This window comes from Homo sapiens, chromosome 1 (assembly GCF_000001405.40).
Source record: "Homo sapiens chromosome 1, GRCh38.p14 Primary Assembly".
Taxonomy (NCBI): Eukaryota; Metazoa; Chordata; class Mammalia; order Primates; family Hominidae; genus Homo; species Homo sapiens.
In genome coordinates this window covers 222040557-222062964 of record NC_000001.11, presented here as the reverse complement: position 1 = coordinate 222062964, position 22408 = coordinate 222040557, and the positions used below count along the sequence as shown (strand labels likewise).

General features: G+C 44.1%; 1 long non-coding RNA gene across 1 annotated transcript, besides 1 other annotated feature; it reads left to right on the top strand.

Annotated features, from left to right (window-relative positions):
• The first annotated feature begins 3571 nt into the window (after nt 1-3571).
• Nucleotides 3572-21261, top strand: LINC01705 (long intergenic non-protein coding RNA 1705). The gene is made up of 3 exons (XR_001738485.2): nt 3572-3959; nt 4287-4551; nt 21043-21261. It is a non-coding gene; the product is annotated as a long intergenic non-protein coding RNA 1705 (long non-coding RNA).
• Nucleotides 13262-13510: a silencer, noted in NCBI's record as "fragment chr1:222222797-222223045 (GRCh37/hg19 assembly coordinates)". NCBI's record gives its function as "represses an EF-1alpha promoter that drives an FKBP-Casp9 reporter gene in an ReSE screen in phorbol 12-myristate 13-acetate-treated (for megakaryocytic differentiation) K562 erythroleukemia cells {active_cell/tissue: K562(+PMA)}" and the evidence as "EXISTENCE:reporter gene assay evidence [ECO:0000049][PMID:32094911]".
• Nucleotides 21262-22408: the final 1147 nt, after the last annotated feature.

The window sequence follows — 22408 nt, the reverse complement described above, 5'->3', positions numbered from 1 at the left end:
AACATAGTGGTGCTGCTCTGCTTCTCCCTATAGGTGACAGGAAGGGTAAGAGGGCCTGGCACTTTTTTGCTGAGTTGGAAGCTTGGCTGCCTTGCTTTTCTCTTGTCTCTCTCTTGCACTCATACTGCTAAACCAGTTTCTGTCTTGCTACCTCAGGGCAGGCCTAGTCAAACCTGACCTGCAGACATCCTCTTCTGTTCAGTCTCTTTTCTTCATCTGGTTGGTAGAGGGTGAACAGATCCTGGGATGTGGCTTTGGACTTGGAATAGCAGAACAGGATGGGATAGTTCCCCCCTTAGGATGCCAACCTTGACTACATGATAAAACTCGCCTTATCAGATTCTTCTGGTTGAATTCAGAGGCATAGGTTGTGTTTACAGTAAAGTGTTCATTTGCTTCCCTTTGATGCTTTGTATGTGCAACTGTCTTGGGAAGTGGGGAGAAATTATCTTGTTCTGCTGTTAATAGCCCTTTAATCATGACATCGTTTCTAGTGGCATTGTCTTTGAGATTTTATAGAAGTATAAATGGATACTTAGAAAGGCTATGTGGCTTGCCTCAAGTCTTAGATTATGAACTGGGATTAGAATAGGGTCTACTGGAAGTGGTGGGCTAGAGCTGGCTGGCATCAGCTTCTGAGAACTTATTATCATCATTTCTTACAACTCCATGTGCAGTGATGTCATATTGATTTCTTGAGATGAGCCATGATTGGAGTATCTACACTGTGGAAATGGGAAAATGCTATAAATCAGAGCTCTCTTCCTCCCCACTGGAGAGCTGGTTGTTAAACATTTATCAGAAAAACAAAACAAAACAAATATTTACCAGCACACCACTGGGTCTATGTGACTCCAAAGTCCATATTATTTTCACTGTTTTGTGGTTGTTTATATGATTAACAACACTGGTATTGAAAGAGTTGGGTTTCTACCACTTAGCACATTTGGATTGCATGTGTTATTTGTGAGATTAGGGACTTGTTCCAGGGTAGGCCACGTAACTGACTTTGGTACAAAGACCAGGACCCAAAAGAAAAACACCTTAGTGTACACTGCCCTTTCGCACCCAGCCTCCCTGGCTCCATACATGTATGCTGCCTGTGAAGGGGATTAGATAAGTGTGGATAGCTCTGTGTGAACACATCCCCAACTTGTGCTCCACTAGTGGAGAGTTACGGGCAGTTAGAATTGCTCATTTCACATTAGTAAAACAATAGAACTCATTGTTGTACAGGAGGCAGATAGAGAGTATGAAAAGTATGAGAAGCAATCCAAGTTCAGGCCCTGCTTGCTAGTTAACTTAACTTTTCTGTGCTTCAGTGTCTGTATCTGAAATATGAAGACATTATCATCCTAGAAGTAAAGAACTGGAGTTAGTTTTATGAATTAAAAATACCTATCACAGTGGTTTTATTAGACACATAGTAAATGTTCAATTAACAATGGCTTTTAAATGCAGACTTGTCACCAAATAAATTCTCCTGTAGCTGATGCCTGAAGTTTATATATCTTGGCAATTTGTAATATATCTGTGTTTATCTGTTCTCCTGATTAGAAAACCCACTTCCAACAAGAACCACATCTGAGTGAAATTCTAACCCAGAACTTCATGTTATTTGTATTGGATAGCAGTAGGGTGGTGGGGACAAGGGGCTCTGGATTTCCATTCAAATTCCATCTGTGCTACAAGCTTATTATCTTTGGGTTTCTAAGTTTATTTTCTCCTATGTAAAATGGAAATAAATAACATCCTCTACCTCATAAACTATGAGTATTAGCTGAGACTTTTGTGAAAGTGCTCAGCACATTTCTTGATACATAGCTCAGTACAATGAATGTTTGCAGTTTTTGCTACCACTGTTATCACAGACTTTTAAAAGTCTGATGTGGTGATCCACACATGTTTCGAGACAGTCATATTTTAGAGGTCAGCCTGGCTGAAAGGAGAGCATTGAGAAGCGGGTCCAGGGAGGTCCTACTGCTCTGAGAACTCAAGAATTGTGCAGGTGAGCTGGTGTGAATGAAGACCCCAGCTTCCGACTTAATGACAAAGTTGGTTTATATGCAGTAATTTCATAAAATAAAGGAAGAAAAGCAAGTTTGACTCCATGTGGTGCAGGGAAGGGCTAGGATAAACAATGTGAAAATGCTGGGCCATTTGTTACTATTGATTTATGTTTTGGGTGATGGTGTGGTAATTGCTCTTGCTTTGTGTGCCTGTTTCCTAGAAGCTGTGATGCTAACAGGAGGTGGGAGAGTTCAATATGGATCAAGATAATTGAAAGCGAGTTTTGCACAGAGAGCCAAGTGGTATAGAGCAGCCTCCTTTGTGCTGTTTTCAGTGTGGGAATGTGCATTTGCTTATAATTTAATGAAAATGCCCATGAGGAAAAATGATGCAGTGCCAAATTTTTAGCCTCTTTGAAGAATTTCCTAAGTGTTAGAGACTTTGAAATTAGACTGAAAGGCTTACATAATCACTAATTTGGTTGCAAGGTTCTGCCCATTCCTGTAAAGCAGGCTACTGCTTTCTTTGACCCCTCTGTGACTTTAGCTGAAGGCAGATTTATCTGAATTTTTACTGGACAACTTCGAGTGTCCAGTAAAAATGCCAATTGGCCAATCCACAGATGTGACCAACCTTTCACAGAGGCTTCAAATGCTTCCTAAAAATAGCGATGCTATTGAGACTATACTGGAAATGAGAATATCACAGTTTAGTCAAAACTCTGCAACTATTTTATGATAAATTTACATTTATAAGTGTCCATTTCTTCATTCACAAACTGAAAGCATTGAGCACTAGGCCAATGGCAAGCCCCCTTCAAGTTCTGATTAAATATATGATTTGTCTCCCATAACAAAACACATATGCACATGTATTTAATTTCAAGGGATCTGAGTCTTTTAGAACCTTTGGTTAAATTATCATAAGAGTTTCTTGTAATTCTGAGATCAAGGGCCAATATATTTTCTTAGGAAAAATTTAATGATTCTTTTCATTTTCCCTAAGTTAGACAATCAAACAAATTAATTTCATGTTCTTGTTCTCACATCCTGCAAAATCTATTCCAATGGATGTTTGCTTTTATCTTCGAACATTTTCTCTGAAATTATTACTACTAAAGAATGAAGCATTGTACATTCTAATAGTGTTGTAAGTCTTGCCTCATAAAACAGTGAATTTTGAGTGAAGATGACATGTTGCATAATTTTGCTATGTCTATGCAAATGAATGGTATAAAACTTTTGTCTTGGGTAGAGGGTATTGTGCAGTACAGTCTGACTTGTAAATGTTGTTTAATACAGGGAACTTTGTATCTGCTTTGGGTGTTCTCCTCAGGGGACAAAAATGTCAATTTTCCTTTTTAGAAAGGAATCAGTTGGAGAAAATGATGTTTGTGAAAGTAAGATCCACTCATCACTGTCCTAGATTCATGTCCCTTTTAGATACAGATAGACCCTGGGCAGAATAACAGTGATTGGGCTGTTTCCTAATGCCCATGCTGCAGAATCCCTGTGTGATGGCTCCCCAGCACTTGGTCTCCCCGTTACTTGCAACAAAACTGCTCAGCTGTTCAGAGGATTTCTGCTGGGCCTTGTCACTCTCCTTGACCTCAGCTCACAGTAAGCTGCCTTCTAAGGAGCTTGCTTCAATGCAGGGGCACTGCTAGTTTTGTCAGGTCAGGTGTTAACACCTGGGAAAGGTCAGGCTACCATGAGGCTTTGTGTTTTAGTCCGAGGGATCTTACCACATGGTGGAATGCCGTGGGTGTTGGCTTAGGCGTGACCGACTCTTCCCTCTGGCCCCAGGCAGAAGGCCACATGCTTGGAGCAGAGCAGAGGACATTTCCCACTTCTACACTCCACATGGTTTTGGCCTTGCCGGAAGAGGTCACAAAGTGGCTTTGGAATTCACTCACACAACATGAGGGTACTTTGCACAGGTAGAGAATGGTAAGTATATTGCAGCTGAACTGGAACTGGAGTCAAGCCCCTAATGTCTTGTCACAACTTTATCTGGTCTTGCATTTTAGAATATTTGTGTTCCCATTGAGTCAAGGACAAAAACTGAAAATTAACAACTGCTTGAGGGTCTGGCTTCAGTTTGAGAAAGTGCAGAGCTTGGTGGCTCAGTCCCTTCAATCTCACATTTGTTAAACTGACGAACTGGTGTCCTGTCTAGGATTCTATATTTTCCTACATAAGTTAGGTGTATTTTCAGAGGAATCTGGAGCCTTTGTTGAAACTAGCAGTTTTCTTTTTTGTTTGTTTGTTTTTTAGGTTGAAATACACACTACCTGAAGCTGGATAACTCATGAACTCTGTTGACAATTATATTCTTTGTCTTTTTAATTAACTCATTTGGAGTTGGTGTCCTGAGGACCTAAGCCTAAGAATCTTCAAGATGGAAGAGTAGAGTGAACAATGAATGAGCCAGAGGGCTCTTGTCCTCTGTGTGCAGCTCTGGGCAGCCAGCAGGTGGATATGGGACTTGGCCTGCTGGAGGGGCCCTGGCAAGAGGAGCTGGCAGGAGCAGATGGCAAAGGTCAGTGACTCCACAGTCCTTTTCCCCTACTGCGTAAGAACCACACTAACATAAAAACAACGAGAGTAAAAAATCAAACAAAAAAGATTTCTGGAGGATATCAGAAAAAATATACAAGACAATAATAAGTTATCAATTAAAACAAATTAAGGCAAAAAAATTAAATATTGAAAAAGTAGGTCAGGTCCTGGGGTACAGGCTGGGGATCTTATTGCAGAAATTCAGATTATAAGGTAATTAAACCAGAGTACTATGATTGAGCCGACAGATTTGAGGACAGAAAATACAGACCTGGGTAAATGATTACCCCATTCCTTTTGCCTCTAGGGAGAAAATACACCAATTATTTAGAGGAAGCCAAGCTCTTCCTATTACTTGGCTCCTACAGAAGGTCTCCCCTGGGCTTCATGCACTGGGCATAGAGAGACTTAGTGGAAGGTGTTCCCTGTGGCATCTGCACATAAAAAAGAAGTGGGTTTACTAAGGCAATTAAAGAGTCCCTCTTGGAGGCCACAGCCCTGATGTGTTCCTGAATGACAATAAATTCTGTCGGGAGCACAGCAACATGGTGTCAGGGTGTAGGTCTCTGATGGCTTATCCAGTGCTAAAGAGAGTGTTAATGACACACTTCAGCCAATAACACTATCGTGTAAGTCTTAGAAATATTTACCTTCAAATTCAAATCTCATCTCTGCTGGCTCCTACCTTTGTGATTTGGGGGCTCTCTGTGATTCTCTAACCTCTCTGAGCCTGTTTCCTCATCTAAAAAATGGGATGATTGCCTCATGGGTTTGATTTGAAGATTACGAGAAACATGGACCCAAAGTGCTGTACATGGTGCCTGTCACATAAGACACAAGACACAAGACACACTACATCCCAATAAAAGCCTCTCATCCCACAAGAAGTCTGCTCCAGAAAAAGATGTAGCATGGTGATTTCCAACCTTGTTGAGTACAAGAAATCTTTTTGTCATCACATGTTTCTCAGACTCGCACATGACAGGAGTTTTACTTTCAGTACCACTCAGGGAGAAAATGAATGACTGTCACACTTCAAACTGAGTTTGTAATTGGTTAATCCTAAGAACATGCCCACGCACTTGCAAAGGCGTAATACTATGTGAGGGAGGTGTGTGATCCTCAGGCTTCTCAGCATCACCCAGGGCCCCACCAGGGCTCTGGGGCCCATGGCTTTACCAGGACCAGATGTGGTCCTTGTGGGTCATGTTGTTGGTCTATACCCCTTGCTTCTGCACTGGCCCCACTCCTCATCCAGAGCAGAGATTGAGGAGGAGGTAGGCCACATGCTCCTGGGAGCTGAAGCTCTACTTTCAGGAATTAAGGCTTAATAGGGTCAATGGGCATCTGAATATCCCCAGGGGGGATTCATCTACTTTATAAGCATATGTACTGGATTGAATAGTGTTTCCCCATCCCCAAAATTATGTCCACCCAGAACCTCAGAATATGACCTGATTTGGAAGTAGGGTCTCTGCAGATGTAAGTTAGTGAAATTCAGACGAGGTCATACTGGATTGGGGTGGGCCTTATAAGAAAACCATATAAAGACACAGAGAGACACAGAATGCCCTGTAAGGAGTGAGGCAGAGACTGGAAGGATGCATCTATCGGCCAAGAAACACCAAGGCTTGCCTGCAGCCACCACAAGTTAGGAGGGATGCACAGAATAGATTTTCTCTCAGAGGATCTAGAACGAACGACTTTGCCAATACCTTAATTTCAAACTTATGGCTCTCAGGACTGTGAGAGAAAAATGTCTGCTCTTTTAAGCCACTCTGTGGTATTTAGTTATGGCAGACCTAGCAGACTAATATACCATATATTCTCATTCTTTCATAGTCTTTATTGGTTGCTTTCCCCCTTATGACTAAAGTAATAAATATCAATCATAGAACTTTTATAAAATACAACTATGCAAAAAAAAATATATTATCTCTTACTCCACTGCCTGAAGGTAAGTGTTCTAAACATGTTGATCTTTCTTTGCCTGGACTTCTGTGTACAAATGTGTGTGTGAATTATCATTTTTTAAAAATTTACATGATCAATATGTGTGCTCCTGCATTTCACTTCTGAGAAGGTAAGAACAGAAAACACAAACACGTGTAACTCATTTCTTTTTAATATCTGCAGGTAACATTCATAACAACTTTGAATCTTTCCCTATACCAGAGAGAGTGGCCCACTTGGCAGGGAGGCCCTCGCATTTGTGATGGACGGATGCTGGCAGATGTCTAGTGAGTTTAGCACTTAGCTCTAGCTTCTGTTCAACTCCACAGTGCCCAGGAGATAAGACAAAATTGGTAGAATGTAAAATCCTTGACAGCCTCTGGGTTTTAGGACTTAGCATGTCTTTATCATCAAGTCTGTTTACAAAGAAAAGTCTTCTGAAGGTTTTCCCCATGGAATAGAGTTATTTCAAAACGGCATGTGGTGAAAAGTTACATGAGCTTCCAGCAGCCTTGTCCGCTCCTGACAGGTTACAGGGAGAAATTGTTCTTGGCAGCCCAGGTTAGCCCCTTGAAGTAAGCCTGTTAGGTCCCTGGCTCTGTCGCAGTGTTAGCTGTGTCTGCCACTGATGGCAGAGACAGCAGGAGCGAGACACTGAAGCAGAGTGCAAGTCCTTGGATGATGAGAGCGGCAAGGCTCAGCACCCGCCTTTCCTCGGACGTGAAGGGGTCTGTGTCCTTCCCTTAACATGGAGCCAAATGTCTAGTGTTGGCCTGAAGGAGCTCAAACTAGTGCAATAAAGGGGTATAGAGTCTCCAACTGTGAACCTGAAAATCTAGACAGGTCTTAGTTAATTTAGCAAGTTTATTTTGCCAAAGTTAAGGACATACACGCCTGTGACACAGCCTCAGGAGGTTCTGATGACATGTGCCCAAGGTGGTCGGGGCACAGCTCAGTTTTATACACTGTAGGGAAACACGAGACACCAGTCAATATGTGTAAGAGGTACATTGGTTCAGTCCAAAAAGGTAGGACAACTTGAGGCAAAGGCAGGACAACTCCAAGTGGTGCAAGGGCGCCCAGGTCACAGGTAGGTAAGAGAGAAATGGTTGCATTCTTTTGAGCTTCTGATGAGCCTATCCAAATGAAGCAATCAGATATGCATTTATCTCAGTGAGCAGAGGGGCGACTTTGAATAGAACGGGAGGCAGATTTGCCCTAAGCAGTTGGGCTTGAGTGATTTTGGGGCCTGAGATTTATTTGCCTTTAACACAACTTTCCACTACCTAAGGAGACCTCACTACCTGTTGATGTAGGAGCTGCGGACTAAACCTGTGTTTGTCTGGTAGCTAATTATCAGCACAGAGGTGGTGAGGCTGCAGTGCCTGACCACACCCAGCATGCCGAGGCGGTGGGCCTAAGGGTTTTCTTTCTCTCTCCCCCTACTCCCTGCCTCCCTCTTTCCCTTCCTTCCTTCTTGCTTCTGTTCAAGTAATTTGAATTATTTGCCAAAATATAAAACTTTGGAGATTTTGTGCCAAAGAAGGAGATGGATTCTTTGGTTTGTCTAGAAAAAGCAGAAAACTTGGCATCACTTGCCTGCTTTCCTGCATAGCAACTATGGGTCAAAGCTGAGTGGTGGCTCTGTCTAGCCTGGACCTGTGTTGTCCACCTCTCCATAGCCTCAGGCTCAGCCTCCCTCTATTATTGCCTGGGCCCTGGGGACATGCTGAGGGTGCCCTGCCTGCATGAACAGAACCTGCTGTGTTCCAAGTCATGTGATCACGTGCCTCCCCGGCACGCACAGAGGCCTGGAGGCCCTTGCTCTGGTTTCCTTCCATGAATGCATCTCACCCTGGGAGTCACACAAGCCGCCTGACCTCAGGTTCCTCATGTGGGCAAGAGGACTGGGCTAGATGGAGGTTTTCCGACTTTTCGTAGCCCAGGGCAATGCTGAGGACACCTTACTTAGAACTGGTGGCATAGCAGCTGCTGAGCACTGGCAGCCTTCTCCCCTAGATTCAGGCAAGAAGGGGGATGCATTGTCGGTAGGAAATTCAAAACTCTCCTAAAACTTACTGAAAGTCTGCCTGTTACTTTTGACCACTCAGTGACAAAATACCCTACCAAAAAATATTTTGCTGGTCTGAGTTCTCAACAATTTATGTGGCTGCTGCTGAGTTTTCATAATATATAAACTTAAACATAGCATGGCTTATTAATTATCCTTTAAAAAACGTTGTAATTTACATAGAGGTTTATTTGAAAAGCTCACAGTTAGGCAGCCACCCCGTCACACATGAATATTTCCCTGAACATGTTTGCTTGTCAATGAGTTTGTAATTGTTTAGAATCCTTCGCGTGCTCCTAGTGCAGCTCCTGTCTCCAGGTACTGCAGAACTACATTTTCCTGCACTTAAACAGTAGTTTCAAAATAAATAATAATTGCGCAATGGACAGAGAGAAGAAATAGAACTATGTTTGCATAAGTTGCCATTCTTTGTGACCACTTGGAATTTTTATTTGTTTAAAATTTTAAAACATTGAAACACTATAGACTGTAAGGTGTAATATCTATATATGTGTTTGTAACTGTCTACAGATATTCATGTGAGTTTAAACTATGAAATAACTTACTAAAATGGAATAGTATCTGCAAAACTTAAATTTATTCTTTTTAAAATATTACTGTTTTAAAACTGAAGAGCAAAGCTAGAAAACATAAACAGCATTACATCAGCAGTACAATTAGTCATCTAAATTGTGCTCTTTATAGACACTTGTTTTATTGAAATGTACTTATTAGTTACTAGAGAGTCATTTATATGACATATTATTATATTCCACTGCAACCAAAGAATCACATTTCAAAACTGTTAGGTAAGTATAAAACTTTTGAATAAATAGCTGTGCTTTTTCTCCCTTGTTGTACTGTAATATTTATTTTCTGTCATATTTTAATTTTATTTTCTTATTTAAGAGCATGATTTTCTATATATGAAATTGAATGAAAGCAAATTTTCTCTGTTTCCTTCTAAGTTATTAGTATTCTTTTCATTCATGATTGTTACTAAAAATGATGTGGCATAGAAGGGCAGGGTGTTAACAAATGACTTGTCAACGGAGCCAAATGCATGGGGTAGGGCTGCTGGGAAGCCCCGTGGTGAGGCAGGTGAGGCTGAACTGTTTGGGTAGGAACCAGGTGCTGGTGACCCCTGGACCTTCCCTTCCACACCTCCTTTGCAGCCCCAAGCTCTTCCTAGGAGCACAGGAAAGCATCCTGGCCCTTGGAGACATTCTGCAAATATTAGAGTCCCCTTCCAGATATGACCTGACTGCATCTGAGTCTTGCTACCTCTGCCCGCATCAAAACCACCATCACTCCTCTCCACAAAAATGTCCAGACTGGTTTTCTGCTTCCACTCTTGTTCCCCATGGCAGTTAGAGTAATGTTAAAAGTGCGTCACATTTGTTCACCTCCTGCCTCAACACCCTCAGATGGCTGCATCCCTTCACTCTGGGAGTAAACTCTAGCATCTTATCTTGGCTGCCAGCCTTCCTGCCTGTCTTGGGCATCTCACCTCTGCCCTGGGTTCTGTACTGTCACTGTAATGCACCAAGCTCACTTCTGTCTTAGGGCATGGCACTTCTCTTCCTTCTACCTGGACTGTTTTAACCCTAAGTCACAGTGTGACCCAGTCCTCAGCCCACTCAGATTGTGCTCCAATGTTCCCCTTCCCAGAGACATTACTGGCTAAACCAACCTGCGTTCCCCAACTCTCAGCTCTTGACTCTGCTGCAGTTTGCTTTACAACCCTTAGCATTACCCAGTGCTTCATTTATTTATGATTTCTTTACTGATTTATAGATTGACTCTCTCACCCACTAGAAACTGAGCATCAGACGGCAGGGGTCAGCTTTTTTCTTGGTCGCCTCCTTAATCTCAGATCCTAGAAAAGTGTCTGGTGCATTGTGGACACTCAGTAAAAACTTGTTAAACTATTGAATGAATGGATCTCAGAGGCTTCTTCTAGCTTCATGTTTCTAGAATCACCTATTAATCATCCACCATTCATGGGATATTATGTTAGGGGCTGGCAGTTTTCTGAAGAATTAAGAACGTGGTCTTCATTTCCAGGGAGCTTACAATATGAAGTGGGAGAGGCTCAGGATGGATGAGAGATCACAGCAGATTTAGCCATCATTAAATTACTAAACAGAACAACAAACCAAAGTAGCCTGAGGGTTAGGGTGAAGGAGGCCAAAAAGTGATCAACAGCTAAAGGAATAATTTGGTTGGTCCCCAGCCCAGTCCCTCTCAGGCTTACATTAATTGTCACCTGAAGTCCTGCTTATGTGTTATCTTGGTGAATGCTTTAAGGGCTCATGTCTGCTGATAGACTTTTTAATTGCTCCTTTTTTTTTTCTGGGATTCCTGTGTATGCCTATATAATTTGTATAAACATGAGAGTATTGGTATAAATAATAAGAGTAATACTTTCTGTTTACCCTGCTTTTATAATTTTCAAAACCTTTCATTATCTTTTTTTGAAATCCTCATTTGGTAGTTCTTTTTATCCTTATTTTACAAATGGGGACAGTGAAGTTCAGAGAGGTAAGCTTGTCATACAGCAGACAATCTTGGTTTCATTGTTGTTGTTGAGACAGGGTCTGGCTCCATTGCCCAGGATGGAGTGCAGTGGCGCTCCAGATCACAGCTCACCACAGCCTTGATCTCCTGGGCTCAAGCAATCCTCCTGCCTTAGCCTCCTGAGTAGCTGGGACTACTGGTACACACCACCATGCCTGGCTAATTTTTTATTTTTACTGTTTTTGGAGAGGTGGGGTTTCACCATGTGGCCCTGGCTAGTCTCCAACTCCTGAGCTCAGTCAACTCAACTGCCTTGGCCTCCCAAAGTGCTGAGATCACAGGCATGAGCCATCATGCCTAGCTCAGAATTGACAACCTTTTGAAGGTAAGGGAACTGTATTAGTCAGGGTTCTCTAGAGGAACAGAGCTAATAGGATAGATATACATATAAAGGGGAGTTTATTAAGCATTAACTCACATAATCACAAGGTCCCACAATAGGCCATCTGCAAGCTGAGGAGCAAGGAGAGCCAGTCCGAGTCCTAAAACTGAAGAACCTGGAGTCTGATGTTTGAGGGCAGGAAGCATCCACCACGGGAGAAAGATGTAGGCTGGGAAACTAGGCCAGTCTAGTCTTTTCATGTTCTTCTGCCTGCTTTATATTTTAGCCATGCTGGCAGCTGATTAGATGGTGCCCACCCAGATGGAGGGTGGGTCTGCCTTTCCCAGTTCACTGACTCAAGTGTTAATCTCCTTTGGCAACACCCTCACAGACACACCCAGGAACAATACTTTGCATCCTTCAATTCAATCAAGTTGACACTCAATATTAACCATCACAGGATCTAATGCAAGAAAAGTGTGTCTGGAACTGGTGGGTTCTTGGTCTCACTGACTTTAAGAATGGAGCCGCCGACCCTCGTGGTGAGTGTTACAGCTCTTAAGGTGGCACGTCTGGAGTTTGTTCCTTCTGATGTTCGGATGTGTTCAGAGTTTCTTCCTTCTGGTGGGTTCGTGGTCTCGCTGGCTCAGCAGTGAAGCTGCAGACCTTCACGGTGAGTGTTACAGCTCTTAAGGCGGCGCCTCTGGAGTTCGTTCCTCTCGGTGGGCTCGTGGTCTCGCTGGCTTCAGGAGTGAAGCTGCAGACCTTCGCGGTGAGTGTTACAGCTCATAAAAGCAGTGTGGACCCAAAGAGTGAGCAGTAAGCAAGATTTATTGCAAAGAGCGAAAGAACAAAGCTTCCACAGTGTGGAAGGGAACCCGAGCGGGTTGCCACTGCTGGCTCCGGCAGTCTGCTTTTATTCTCTTATCTGGCCCACCCACATCCTGCTGACTGGTAGAGCCCAGTGGTCTGTTTTGACAGGGCGCTGATTGGTGCGTTTACAATCCCTGAGCTAGACACAAAGGTTCTCCACATCCCCACCAGATTAGCTAGATACAGAGTGTCCACACAAAGGTTCTCCAAGCCCCCACCAGAGTAGCTAGATACAGAGTGTCGATTGGTGCATTCACAAACCCTGAGCTAGACACAGGGTACTGATTGGTGTGTTTACAAACCTTGAGCTAGATACAGAGTGCCGATTGGTGTATTTACAATCCCTGAGCTAGACTTAAAGGTTCTCCACCTCCCCAGCAGACTCAGGAACCCAGCTGGCTTCACCCAATGGATCCCGCACAGGGGCTGCAGGTGGAGCTGCCTGCCAGTCCCGTGCAGTGCGCCTGCACTCCTCAGCCCTCAGGTGGTCGATGGGACTGGGCTCCGTGGAGCAGGGGGCGGCGCTCATCAGGGAGGCTCCTGCCGCACAGGAGCCCACGGAGGCGGGGGAAGGCTCAGGCATGGCGGGCTGCAGGTCCCGAGCCCTGCCCCGTGGGAAGGCAGCTAAGGCCCGGCGAGAAATCGAGCGCAGCACGGGTGGGCTGGCACTGCTGGGGGACCCAGTACACCCTACGCAGCCGCTGGCCTGGGTGCTAAGCTCCTCATTGCCTGGGCCAGCAGGGCCGGACTGCTGCTCCGAGTGCGGGGCCCGCCAAGCCCACGCCCACCCGGAACTCCAGCTGGCCCTCAAGCGCTGTGCCAGCCCCGGTTCCCGCTCGCGCCTCTTCCTCCGCACCTCCCTGCAAGCTGAGGGAGCCGGCTCCGGTCTTGGCCAGCCCAGTAATGGGCTCCCACAGTGCAGCGGTGGGCTGAAGGGCTCCTCAAGTGCCGCCAAAGTGGGAGCCCAGGCAGAGGAGGCGCCGAGAGCGAGCGAGGGCTGTGAGGACTGCCAGCACGCTGTCACCTCTCAAAAGCACCCAGAAGGCAGTCGTAGACACTCCCTTGTCACTAACCACTTGCTGATCACTGGTGAGGAATTTACTTTCTTGAATCTTACTGACCTGGACTCTGAAAGAAGGAGTTTAACTAGAATCACTGATTCTCAAATGTGGGTGCACATCAGAATCACAGGGCCTTGGCCTTACCCTGCAGGTTCTGCTTCAGTAGGCCTGTGGTCAGGCACAGTAGTAAATATTTTTAGGAGATTCCGGGTGATTTGCTCAGCATCCAAGTCTATGCCTGTTGTCCTGGTGCTATCTCCGAAGAAAGCCCGCTTTCCTTCTGAAATGCTTCTGGGTTCATTTTCCTCAAGGTCCCTTTCCAATCTGACTCCTGCTCCTCTGAGAAGCAGAGAATTTCCCCAAGGTATGAGTAGTAGGAGGTGTATTTCTCTTCTCCTCCCAGGTGTGGTGGAATCTTTAGTGAATGGCAAGCAGCCAGCCACCGTCCCTTTAAGTAAAAACTCATTCTGTCACAGATAAGCCCCTCTGAGCAGGAGTTATACTAGTAAAGAGAACCATAAAGGCTATTACAAACCTTTGGGATTCCTCACTTTCACTTAAGCTAAACAGGATAAATCACTCCCTCCCCAGTAAGAACTCTTTCAGCCACTTTCCTGGCTGAAAATCACAAAATCAACATTTCCAAGTATCCTCTAATGTACTTCATTTTTCATTATTCTTGTTAGCTTGTCTGGTAGTAATATATTTGCATGACAATTAGTCTCGTTTCAATTAAACATTTGGGTAATTTTGCTGGGGCCATATGGCCACCAATATTGTTACAATTTTAAAAATAAAGGTCTCAAAATACATGAGTATACACACAACATACAGATAAACAGCATTTGACTTCACCTCTTCTCCTGCTTTTCAATATAACATTTTAAAAAAAATGAACAACAAATTACATTTTACCATTCAGCAGTTTCAATTAAGGCCATCACTGCAATATATTTTTCAGGAAGGAAAAAAAAAATAACCTTCACTTCGAGGGGCCCATAGTTCATTAGGATGAGTCAGAGAAACCACAGTATGAGCTTGCGATGGAAACGCTGCTGCTATTTGTTAATTATAACCATCACTCAATGCAGACAGTCAGGCAGAAAGACCACAGCAAATAGCCCCAGTTAGAAAATGACATGTTTGGTGAAAATTCCCCAAACAAGAGCCTTCCTCAGTGACCCAACTTCCTTATACCCCTTACTCTCTCAAAAACCAACTGGCTGGACAAAAATATGGGAAAAAATAACAAAAGGCTTGGTTTGCTTTCCAGAAGCCCATCCACGGACCAATTATCTTGAAGGCCCACATTGTCCAGCAGTGGTATGTGTGCCCCACTTCTTACAAAGGAGGACCTATGTGCATCCTGGAGGGAAACACTTTGTCCAGGCTGGTCTCCTAAGTGGAGCTCAGGGAATGAGCTATTTGTGTGTGTTCCTTTGGGAAATGGGGAAGGGGAGGTGAGATGGGTGTGAAGGAGCTTGAAAAAAATCTTTTTCATCTCTTCTCTTTCCCCATGACAAGCAAGGAGATAATGATCTACCTCTTGTCTTTTTCTGTTATGAAAACTATCTTCCTAGCCCCCGTGGTAGTAGGAAATGAAGCGGGATTTTTGATATCAGTTTAAGAGTGAAAGCATTAGTTATAAACTTGAGCTTCAGATATGTCAAAATCCTAGGTTTCATCAAGACAAGGAAGCTCAAGAGTACAAAAATTTCATCATCTTTCATAGAAAATCTCCGTGCTTTGGTAAAAATCAATAGTAATAAAAATAAAATTAAAATAATATAAATAACGATGATGAGGAAGAGGATGATAATATTGTCTCAGTGTTACCAGTAGGTTGAGTGGGAGGACTCACAAGCATATAATTATAAAAATAACTTTGCTTTTGTTTCTCCTAGTCCCTTTAAACTTGCTTGTTTGCAGACAGGCCTTCCTTTGTCCTCATATGAAAATGCAGAAAGACTTTCAGACCGTTCTGATCACTCTTAGGCAATTGCAAGCCCTCAAGCACTTATGTCATACACAAGCTCAATTCAGTAATTAACAATATCCAGTGCTAGCTAAAATGAACAAGACAGAAAATACCAAGCATTAACAAGGGTCTAAAGCAACTAGAACTCTCATCACTGCTGGTGGGGTTATAAATGTTACAGCCACGTTTGAAAATTGTTGGGCAGTATTTACTAATATACACACACATGCACACACACACATATAAATAGTTGTCTATGATCCTATTAACTCCAAGGTGCCTATGAGTCTATTAATCCCAGGGCCTATATACAGAAATGTGTACACAGATTTACCACATGCCATGTATTAACATTTTCACACTATATGTGATAACTCTAAACTGCAAACTACTAAAATTTCTATCAACAGTGGAATGGATAAATAAATTTATGTACAGTCATTCAAATGAATACTATACAGAGAAAGTGTAATATACAAGAACATGCAAAAATATGGATGACTCTCATAAACATAGTGTTGAAAGAAGCCAGACACAGAAGTGTACATATTATAAGATTCCATTTATATAAAAACTAAAAACAGGCAAAATGAATCTGTGCTGTTAGACAATTACTCTAGTAGTTATCACGTGGCAGAGGTGAGAGGAGAGTGACAGGAAGGGAGTGTGAAGGCAACTCGGTTGCTGGTGAGTTTCTCTTTATTGATGGTGGGGATTGTCACATGGGTGTGGTCTGCGAGCACTTGTGCTGTATGCTTGTGATATGTGTCCTTTTCTATATGTATATAATATTAAAATAAAACATTAAAAATGTTCATTCCTATGTGATAGTCAAAGCATTCAATTTCATTCAAAGTTAAGACTTATACCCTAACTCTAGCTAGGCCTATTATAGCGTATGGGCACTGTTTCTGACCCTCAGGGAGTTGGGAAGAGTTGGGAGCAAGGAAATGTAAGGAGAACTATTTTTTTTTTGAAACAGTCTTGCTCTGTCGCCCAGGCTGGAGTGCAGTGGCGCGATCTCGGCTCACTGCAAGCTCTGCCTTCTGGGTTCACGCCATTCTCCTGCCTCAGCCTCCCGAGTAGCTGGGACTACAAGCGGCCACCAACACGCCCGGCTAATTTTTTGTATTTTTAGTAGAGACGGGGTTTCACCATGTTAGTCAGGATGGTCTCGATCTCCTGACCTCGTGATCTGCCCGCCTTGGCCTCCCAAAGTGCTGGGATTACAGGCATGAGCCACCATGCCCGGCCAGGAGAACTATTAATAAAAAGCTCGACAGGCATGAAGCTGTTACAGCAAATGTGTTGATGTTCCTCCTAGGTCTCCACCCATTGAGTGCTGTGACTATTGGCTGTTAATGGCTTATAGTTCTCCCCCTCTTGGGAGAATTTGCCTTTGACCAAATGGAAGCCACCTTTTCTGAGTCATGGCCCTTCCCCTCCCTATTTAACTCCCCAACTTTCTCCCCAGCTGCTTCCTCGCCTTCCCCCACATTGCACTCAGCAGCCAATGACCAACTGACAGGGAGGTAAAAGCCTGGCCTCATTTCTCCAGGACAGACCAGAGCTTGCTGTGGGACGAGTCAGGGGCTAGCCTTGAACAGAGACCACATCCTTATTTTGCTTCTCTCCTTTTTATTCTGCTTTGCCGAGAGCACTCCCCCAGTAAACCACTTCACAAGAATCCCTATTTCAGACAATGCTCCCAGGAAGCCCAACCAAAGACAGCTGGCTCAGACCTCAGCAAGCTTGGGAACAGTTACAGTCTGGTGCTTTCTCCTGGTTTTCTTATAAGGCTTCTCTGCTCCCTGGTGGTCTTTTACCTTCAGACCCTCGGATGCTGTGATGCTTTCTGCTCTAGTGGTCACATATCTTCTCGTTAGCCCCTGGAAACCTCTGCCGACCATCCCAATGCCAGCTCCCCAACGTGGCCTACATCTGGTCCTTGAACACTCTGAGTGCATCATCTTAACAAACTCCAGGGGAGTAAGCTGCCTAACACCATCATCTCCCCCTTAGCAGGCCATCCCTCACGTTGTAAGGGTGAGAGAAGGGCACCAGTCCGCATCACTCCTCTACCTGCAAGGGGACATATCATAGACTCCTGAGTCATCCCCTGAGCCTTCTCCTAAGGGACTTGAGGGGAGGAACAGATGCCCTCCCATGCCACACTCTTTGAGGGTTGTGAGGTATTCATAGTGCAGGCTTCTCCAAAGAGAGGATCATGAAATGTGAAATCATTATTGGGTGGCTTTTTGGATATTTCTGTATCTGATATTTATTAAATCATGATACTTCAATTAAAACTTCCAACTTAGAATCCTGTTACATTGAAATATTTGAAGAGTGCATTAGCGTCCACCAGAAAAGGTATGTTTCCTCTGCATTACTCATTAGTCCCTGGATTATCTTGCTATTTTGCCTCTAGGTTTGAGACGGAGTCTTGCTCTGTCTCCAGGCTGGAGTGCAGTGGTGTGATCTCGGCTTACTGAAACCTCCACCTCCCAGGGTCAAGTGATTCTCCTGCCTCAGCCTCCCGAGTAGCTGGGAGTACAGGTGCCTGCCACCATGCCCAGCTAATTTTTGTATTTTTAGTAGAGATGGGGTTTCACCGTGTTGGCCAGGATGCTCTCTATCTCTTGACCTTGTGATCTGCCCGCCTCAGCCTCCCAAAGTGCTGGGATTACAGGCGTGAGCCACCGGGCCCCATCTCCTCTATAGTTTTTTTGTGGGGCCCATCAGAGACTGAATTCTCCACATGGTCTATGGGTGAAACAAAATCTGGAGGCTACTTCTCTAATTTGAGAGGACACCTGTAGATATGAGAGCCCACAATACTGTTCTTCCCATCTATGGCACCCGGGTTTTCCTCTCTCCCATTGTGTTACACATTTATCTGGTTCGACATGAAGCTCCTGAACCAGACTCTATTTCAAGATGCCAGGGAGCTTGCGGGTATGTGTAGTCCACTGGAAAGAGCCCTAATAATTCTGCCTTCAAGTCCCAGTCTAGCAAAGTCATTGGTCCTTACTTTCCTCAGCTTCAAATGAAGGAGTCATGCCTTGTAACTCCCAAGATCCTCTTCTATTCTGATATTCTGGCTTTCATTATCTTGAATTCCATTGTTAGATTGAATTGACCTGTCAGCTTAGAAACAATGATTGGCACAACATCCATATTCAGAGACAGCCTCAGTCTGACTGTCTGGTCTTTGTCGGCACAACGCGGTAGGCAAATCTCAACCTGTGAGTCTTCTTTTAGAGACCTTAAAACAATCTTGAAAAAAAAATAGCAATGATGTAAGTCCGAGAAGTAGGGCCCCTTTACAAATAGCAACGCTGTGGGTTCATACAAACAGATCTGATGTAGCTCCTATTTTAATTGAATCACCCACTTGGCAACTGAACAACAACAATAAACTGCTTGTTGCTGGCTTATGTCTCTGTCAGAAAAAAACAGTGTTCACTCTCAAAGGCTTCTGGGCCTTTGCTTTATTAAGAAACTTGATAAATATAGTTCAGTAAGTCTGTGGTCCATCTCAGATTTATAGCCAGCTTGCTAATCTAACCAGATAGGATCTCAGGGCAGAAAAACATATGCCTGGTTTTTGTTTTGATGAGACAAAACCCCCAAAATGGGAAGTCCATGTTCTCCTGACTCAGTCTCCCAGGTCTGAGTGCCTGCCCTGCTGTAGCTGGGCTGCCACCCCAGGCCTTCCCCCTCCTGCCCAGCCTGCGGCTGCTTCTGTCCTTCCTGCAGCTGCCCAGACCTTTGCTCATGTGTGCAACCTTTTCAGAGGCCTGTTGACAGGTTTGAAAATAAAGCAGGCGATGTAAAGAACACGCAAGTCATAGATATATGAAAATCAAGCAGTTTGGCTCTACGGAGCGGGATTAGTGAGGATCAGCTGTGCAGCCAGCCTGCTCCTGGGAGGGAGGCCGAGGAGGCTGCCTGAGGCTGGGGCGCTGGGGCACTCTCTGCCTCAGCTGTGCAGCTGCAGCTCTGGGCCATCTCTGTCTATTCTCAGACACTCCTAAGCTGTCCCAGAATGCCAGGGCACATAGGCTGCCAAATTGCCCAGGTGGGTCCAATAGTAGTTGATAATGTGGTGCTTGGGAAGGGACCTTTCCTGTCCCCACACGGTGAGGGGCAGGGCTTCTGCTGGGGCAAGAGACCTGAGACTGGAAGCTGAAGTGGGAAGGGCAGAGAGAAGACCCATTAGGGGCAAACAACCCTCAGGGGACACTGGTAGCTTTGCACAGTGTCAGACTGTACTTGTAGATATTGGGGGAAAGAGTAAAATAACTATGATCTGAGAGTGATACTCAGGAACTCTGATGTAAACGTGAGGTGATGATACTCACACCCTGGAGATGGGGCATCTGCTTCTCTTTCTATTTTCCTACTTTTTTTCTGCTGTTTATTCATATTGTTTTGCAAAATAATTATTCTGCATCCAAAAGTCCATGAGACAGCAACTTCTATTTCTTTATGCAAATACGTCAATACCTCTCTGGGAAAAATAAATAAAATAAAAGGTTCTGAGTATTGGGAACCATGCTCTGAAAAGTATCCCAATGATATGATAGGAACAGCATGAGTACCCTGCAGTGACAGCTGATTCACATGGGGGACTCACAGGCATCTCATTTTAAAAATGAACTGACTCTTCTGTAGACCCTGCAGCCTACCCACAACTTGGTGTCCTCACCTCCATCCCTGTCCCCGTGCTGTTGAGCTTGTTCCCTCCAGGTTCAGGGTGGCTGTCTGGTCCAGTCTGACCAAGCCCCCTTCTAGAATAGGCACTGGAATTTGAGAGATTACAGAAATGAGCTTGGGACCTTTAGACTTTTCACCAGATGGAAAATTTGCAAACATGTTTTTCTCTATAACCAGGTTGAGTGATCACACTGTCATTACTAGACTGCCAACTTCATCAAAATATTAATAATTGTCTTAAAAAGCTGATGAAACCAGAATAGTCTGAAAATAGGGATGGAAGATGATTCTCATGGAAAAGAGAAGGCTGAGTGGTCTGAGTGGTTACAATGTGAGCTCCAGTCTTAGAGAGTCCAGGAACTAGAGAGAGACACGGAATGTACACTGATGGAATCGAGAAAATGTCGCAAGTGAATGCAAAGACTAACCCAGAGAGGTTACTTGAGGACCTGCCTTTTCTCCCATAATATGTGCTATGATTCAGTCAAACTAAGCCACAAGATATTCCTTTAATTATCCTGTGCATTCCTCTCTTTGCTCAAATGTTCCCTTTTCCAGGAATAAAATTCCCACAGTACCATTAACCTCCAACATTTCTTGAGGAATTTCTTTGTGACAATGTACTGAAGGCTTGTGCGTCACATCAACTATCTCATTTAATCCTCGTAACCACGTTATGAAGTAGGTGTTAACATGAGCTCTGTCTTGCAGCTGCAGAAATTATGACGTAAAAGCTTAAGTAACTTGCCCAAGGTTAGGTTGGTAATAAGAGGCAGAGCTGGGGTTCCATCTTAGGCAGCCTATTCCTAGATGGTACATCTTTAACATCTATGTGCACCAGTAGAGAGAATGCTGCTGTTCTAAGGATCCTTGAAGGACCAGCTTGAATTCATGAGACTTTCTTCCCCCAGGATAAAGCGCTCCCTTGTTGGTGTCCCCACAGTCCAGGCTGGTGCTGATGCCGTCCTGCCGTCCTGCATCAGAGCCACTCATGCCCGTGTGCGCACTCTTTGTCGGGGTCTGACACCGTTGCATCGTATATCACCTGTGTTGTCATGGTCAGTGCTCAACAAATGCCCCTACTGATTCAAGTATATGAGCAAGTCAAATAAAAAAATAATATGGCCGGGCGCGGTGGCTCAAGCCTGTAATTCCAGCACTTTGTTAGGCCGAGGCGGGCGGATCACAAGGTCAGGAGATTGAGACCTTCCTGGCTAACACGGTGAAACCCTGTCTCTACTAAAAATACAAAAAATTAGCCGGACATGTTGGCGGGCGCCTGTAGTCCCGGTTACTTGGGAGGCTGAGGCAGGAGAATGGCCTGAACCCAGGAGGCAGAGCTTGCAGTGAGCTGAGATCGTGCCACTGCACTCCAGCCTGAGCGACAGAGTGAGACTCCATCTCAAAATAAATAAATAAATAAATAAATAATGTAATAATTTATTAGGCCTCTGCTGTAATAATTTATTAGGCTTCTGCATAAATTATTGCATTTTATCCATACAACATTTATGATTCTTATTTTTCAATGAGGAACCAGACTTAGGAAGATTAATAACTTGCCTGAAGTCACAGAGGTAGAGGGGCAGCGTAAAGATTCAGTTGCCAATTTGTCAGATTCCAAAGCTCTTTTACTGCACCATCTCGCCTTCCAAGCGTGGGAGAGTGGGGAGGGAATTATGTGTCAGTGTTGGGTGAGAATGGCTTGGTAGAACTTGGAGGTGAGCTTCTCATGAACAGGGCTTCCTGGGACCTCTTATCCTGTCTTACATGAGTCACCCCAAATTATTAGAAATCAAAGCATCAGTTGAGGAAAACCACACCAGCCCCCAGAAAGCTAATTGAGCCCCGTAGTCTCAAAGCAAGTCTAGTCACTGCTCTTGAAAAATGCAATTTAGCCATTCCTCCTTACTCCTTACAGCTGATCTCAAACACATGAAATATCATATGTAATTAGAGTCCATGAACATTCGTGTCACTTTGCACAATTAAAACTGTGTTCTGCTATTCCTGGGAAACATATTTTTAGTTTAAGCTGGGGTGTAATGAGATCTCTAAAAATAACACCGTGAAAGGTGAGGCTAAGTGTAGGGGTTGAGTTCACCCCAGTGCCGAGGCTATAAAACATTATTCATGGTCCATTTAAAGCTCTTGAGCCCTGGGCCAACTTTTTTGCTCAGACAGAAGTTTGGTTCATCCTATTTGGACCCAACTCACTTTCCATTGAAATGGCGGTGGCCTGAGTGAGAGGGACTTAGACTAGGCCATTAGAGGAAT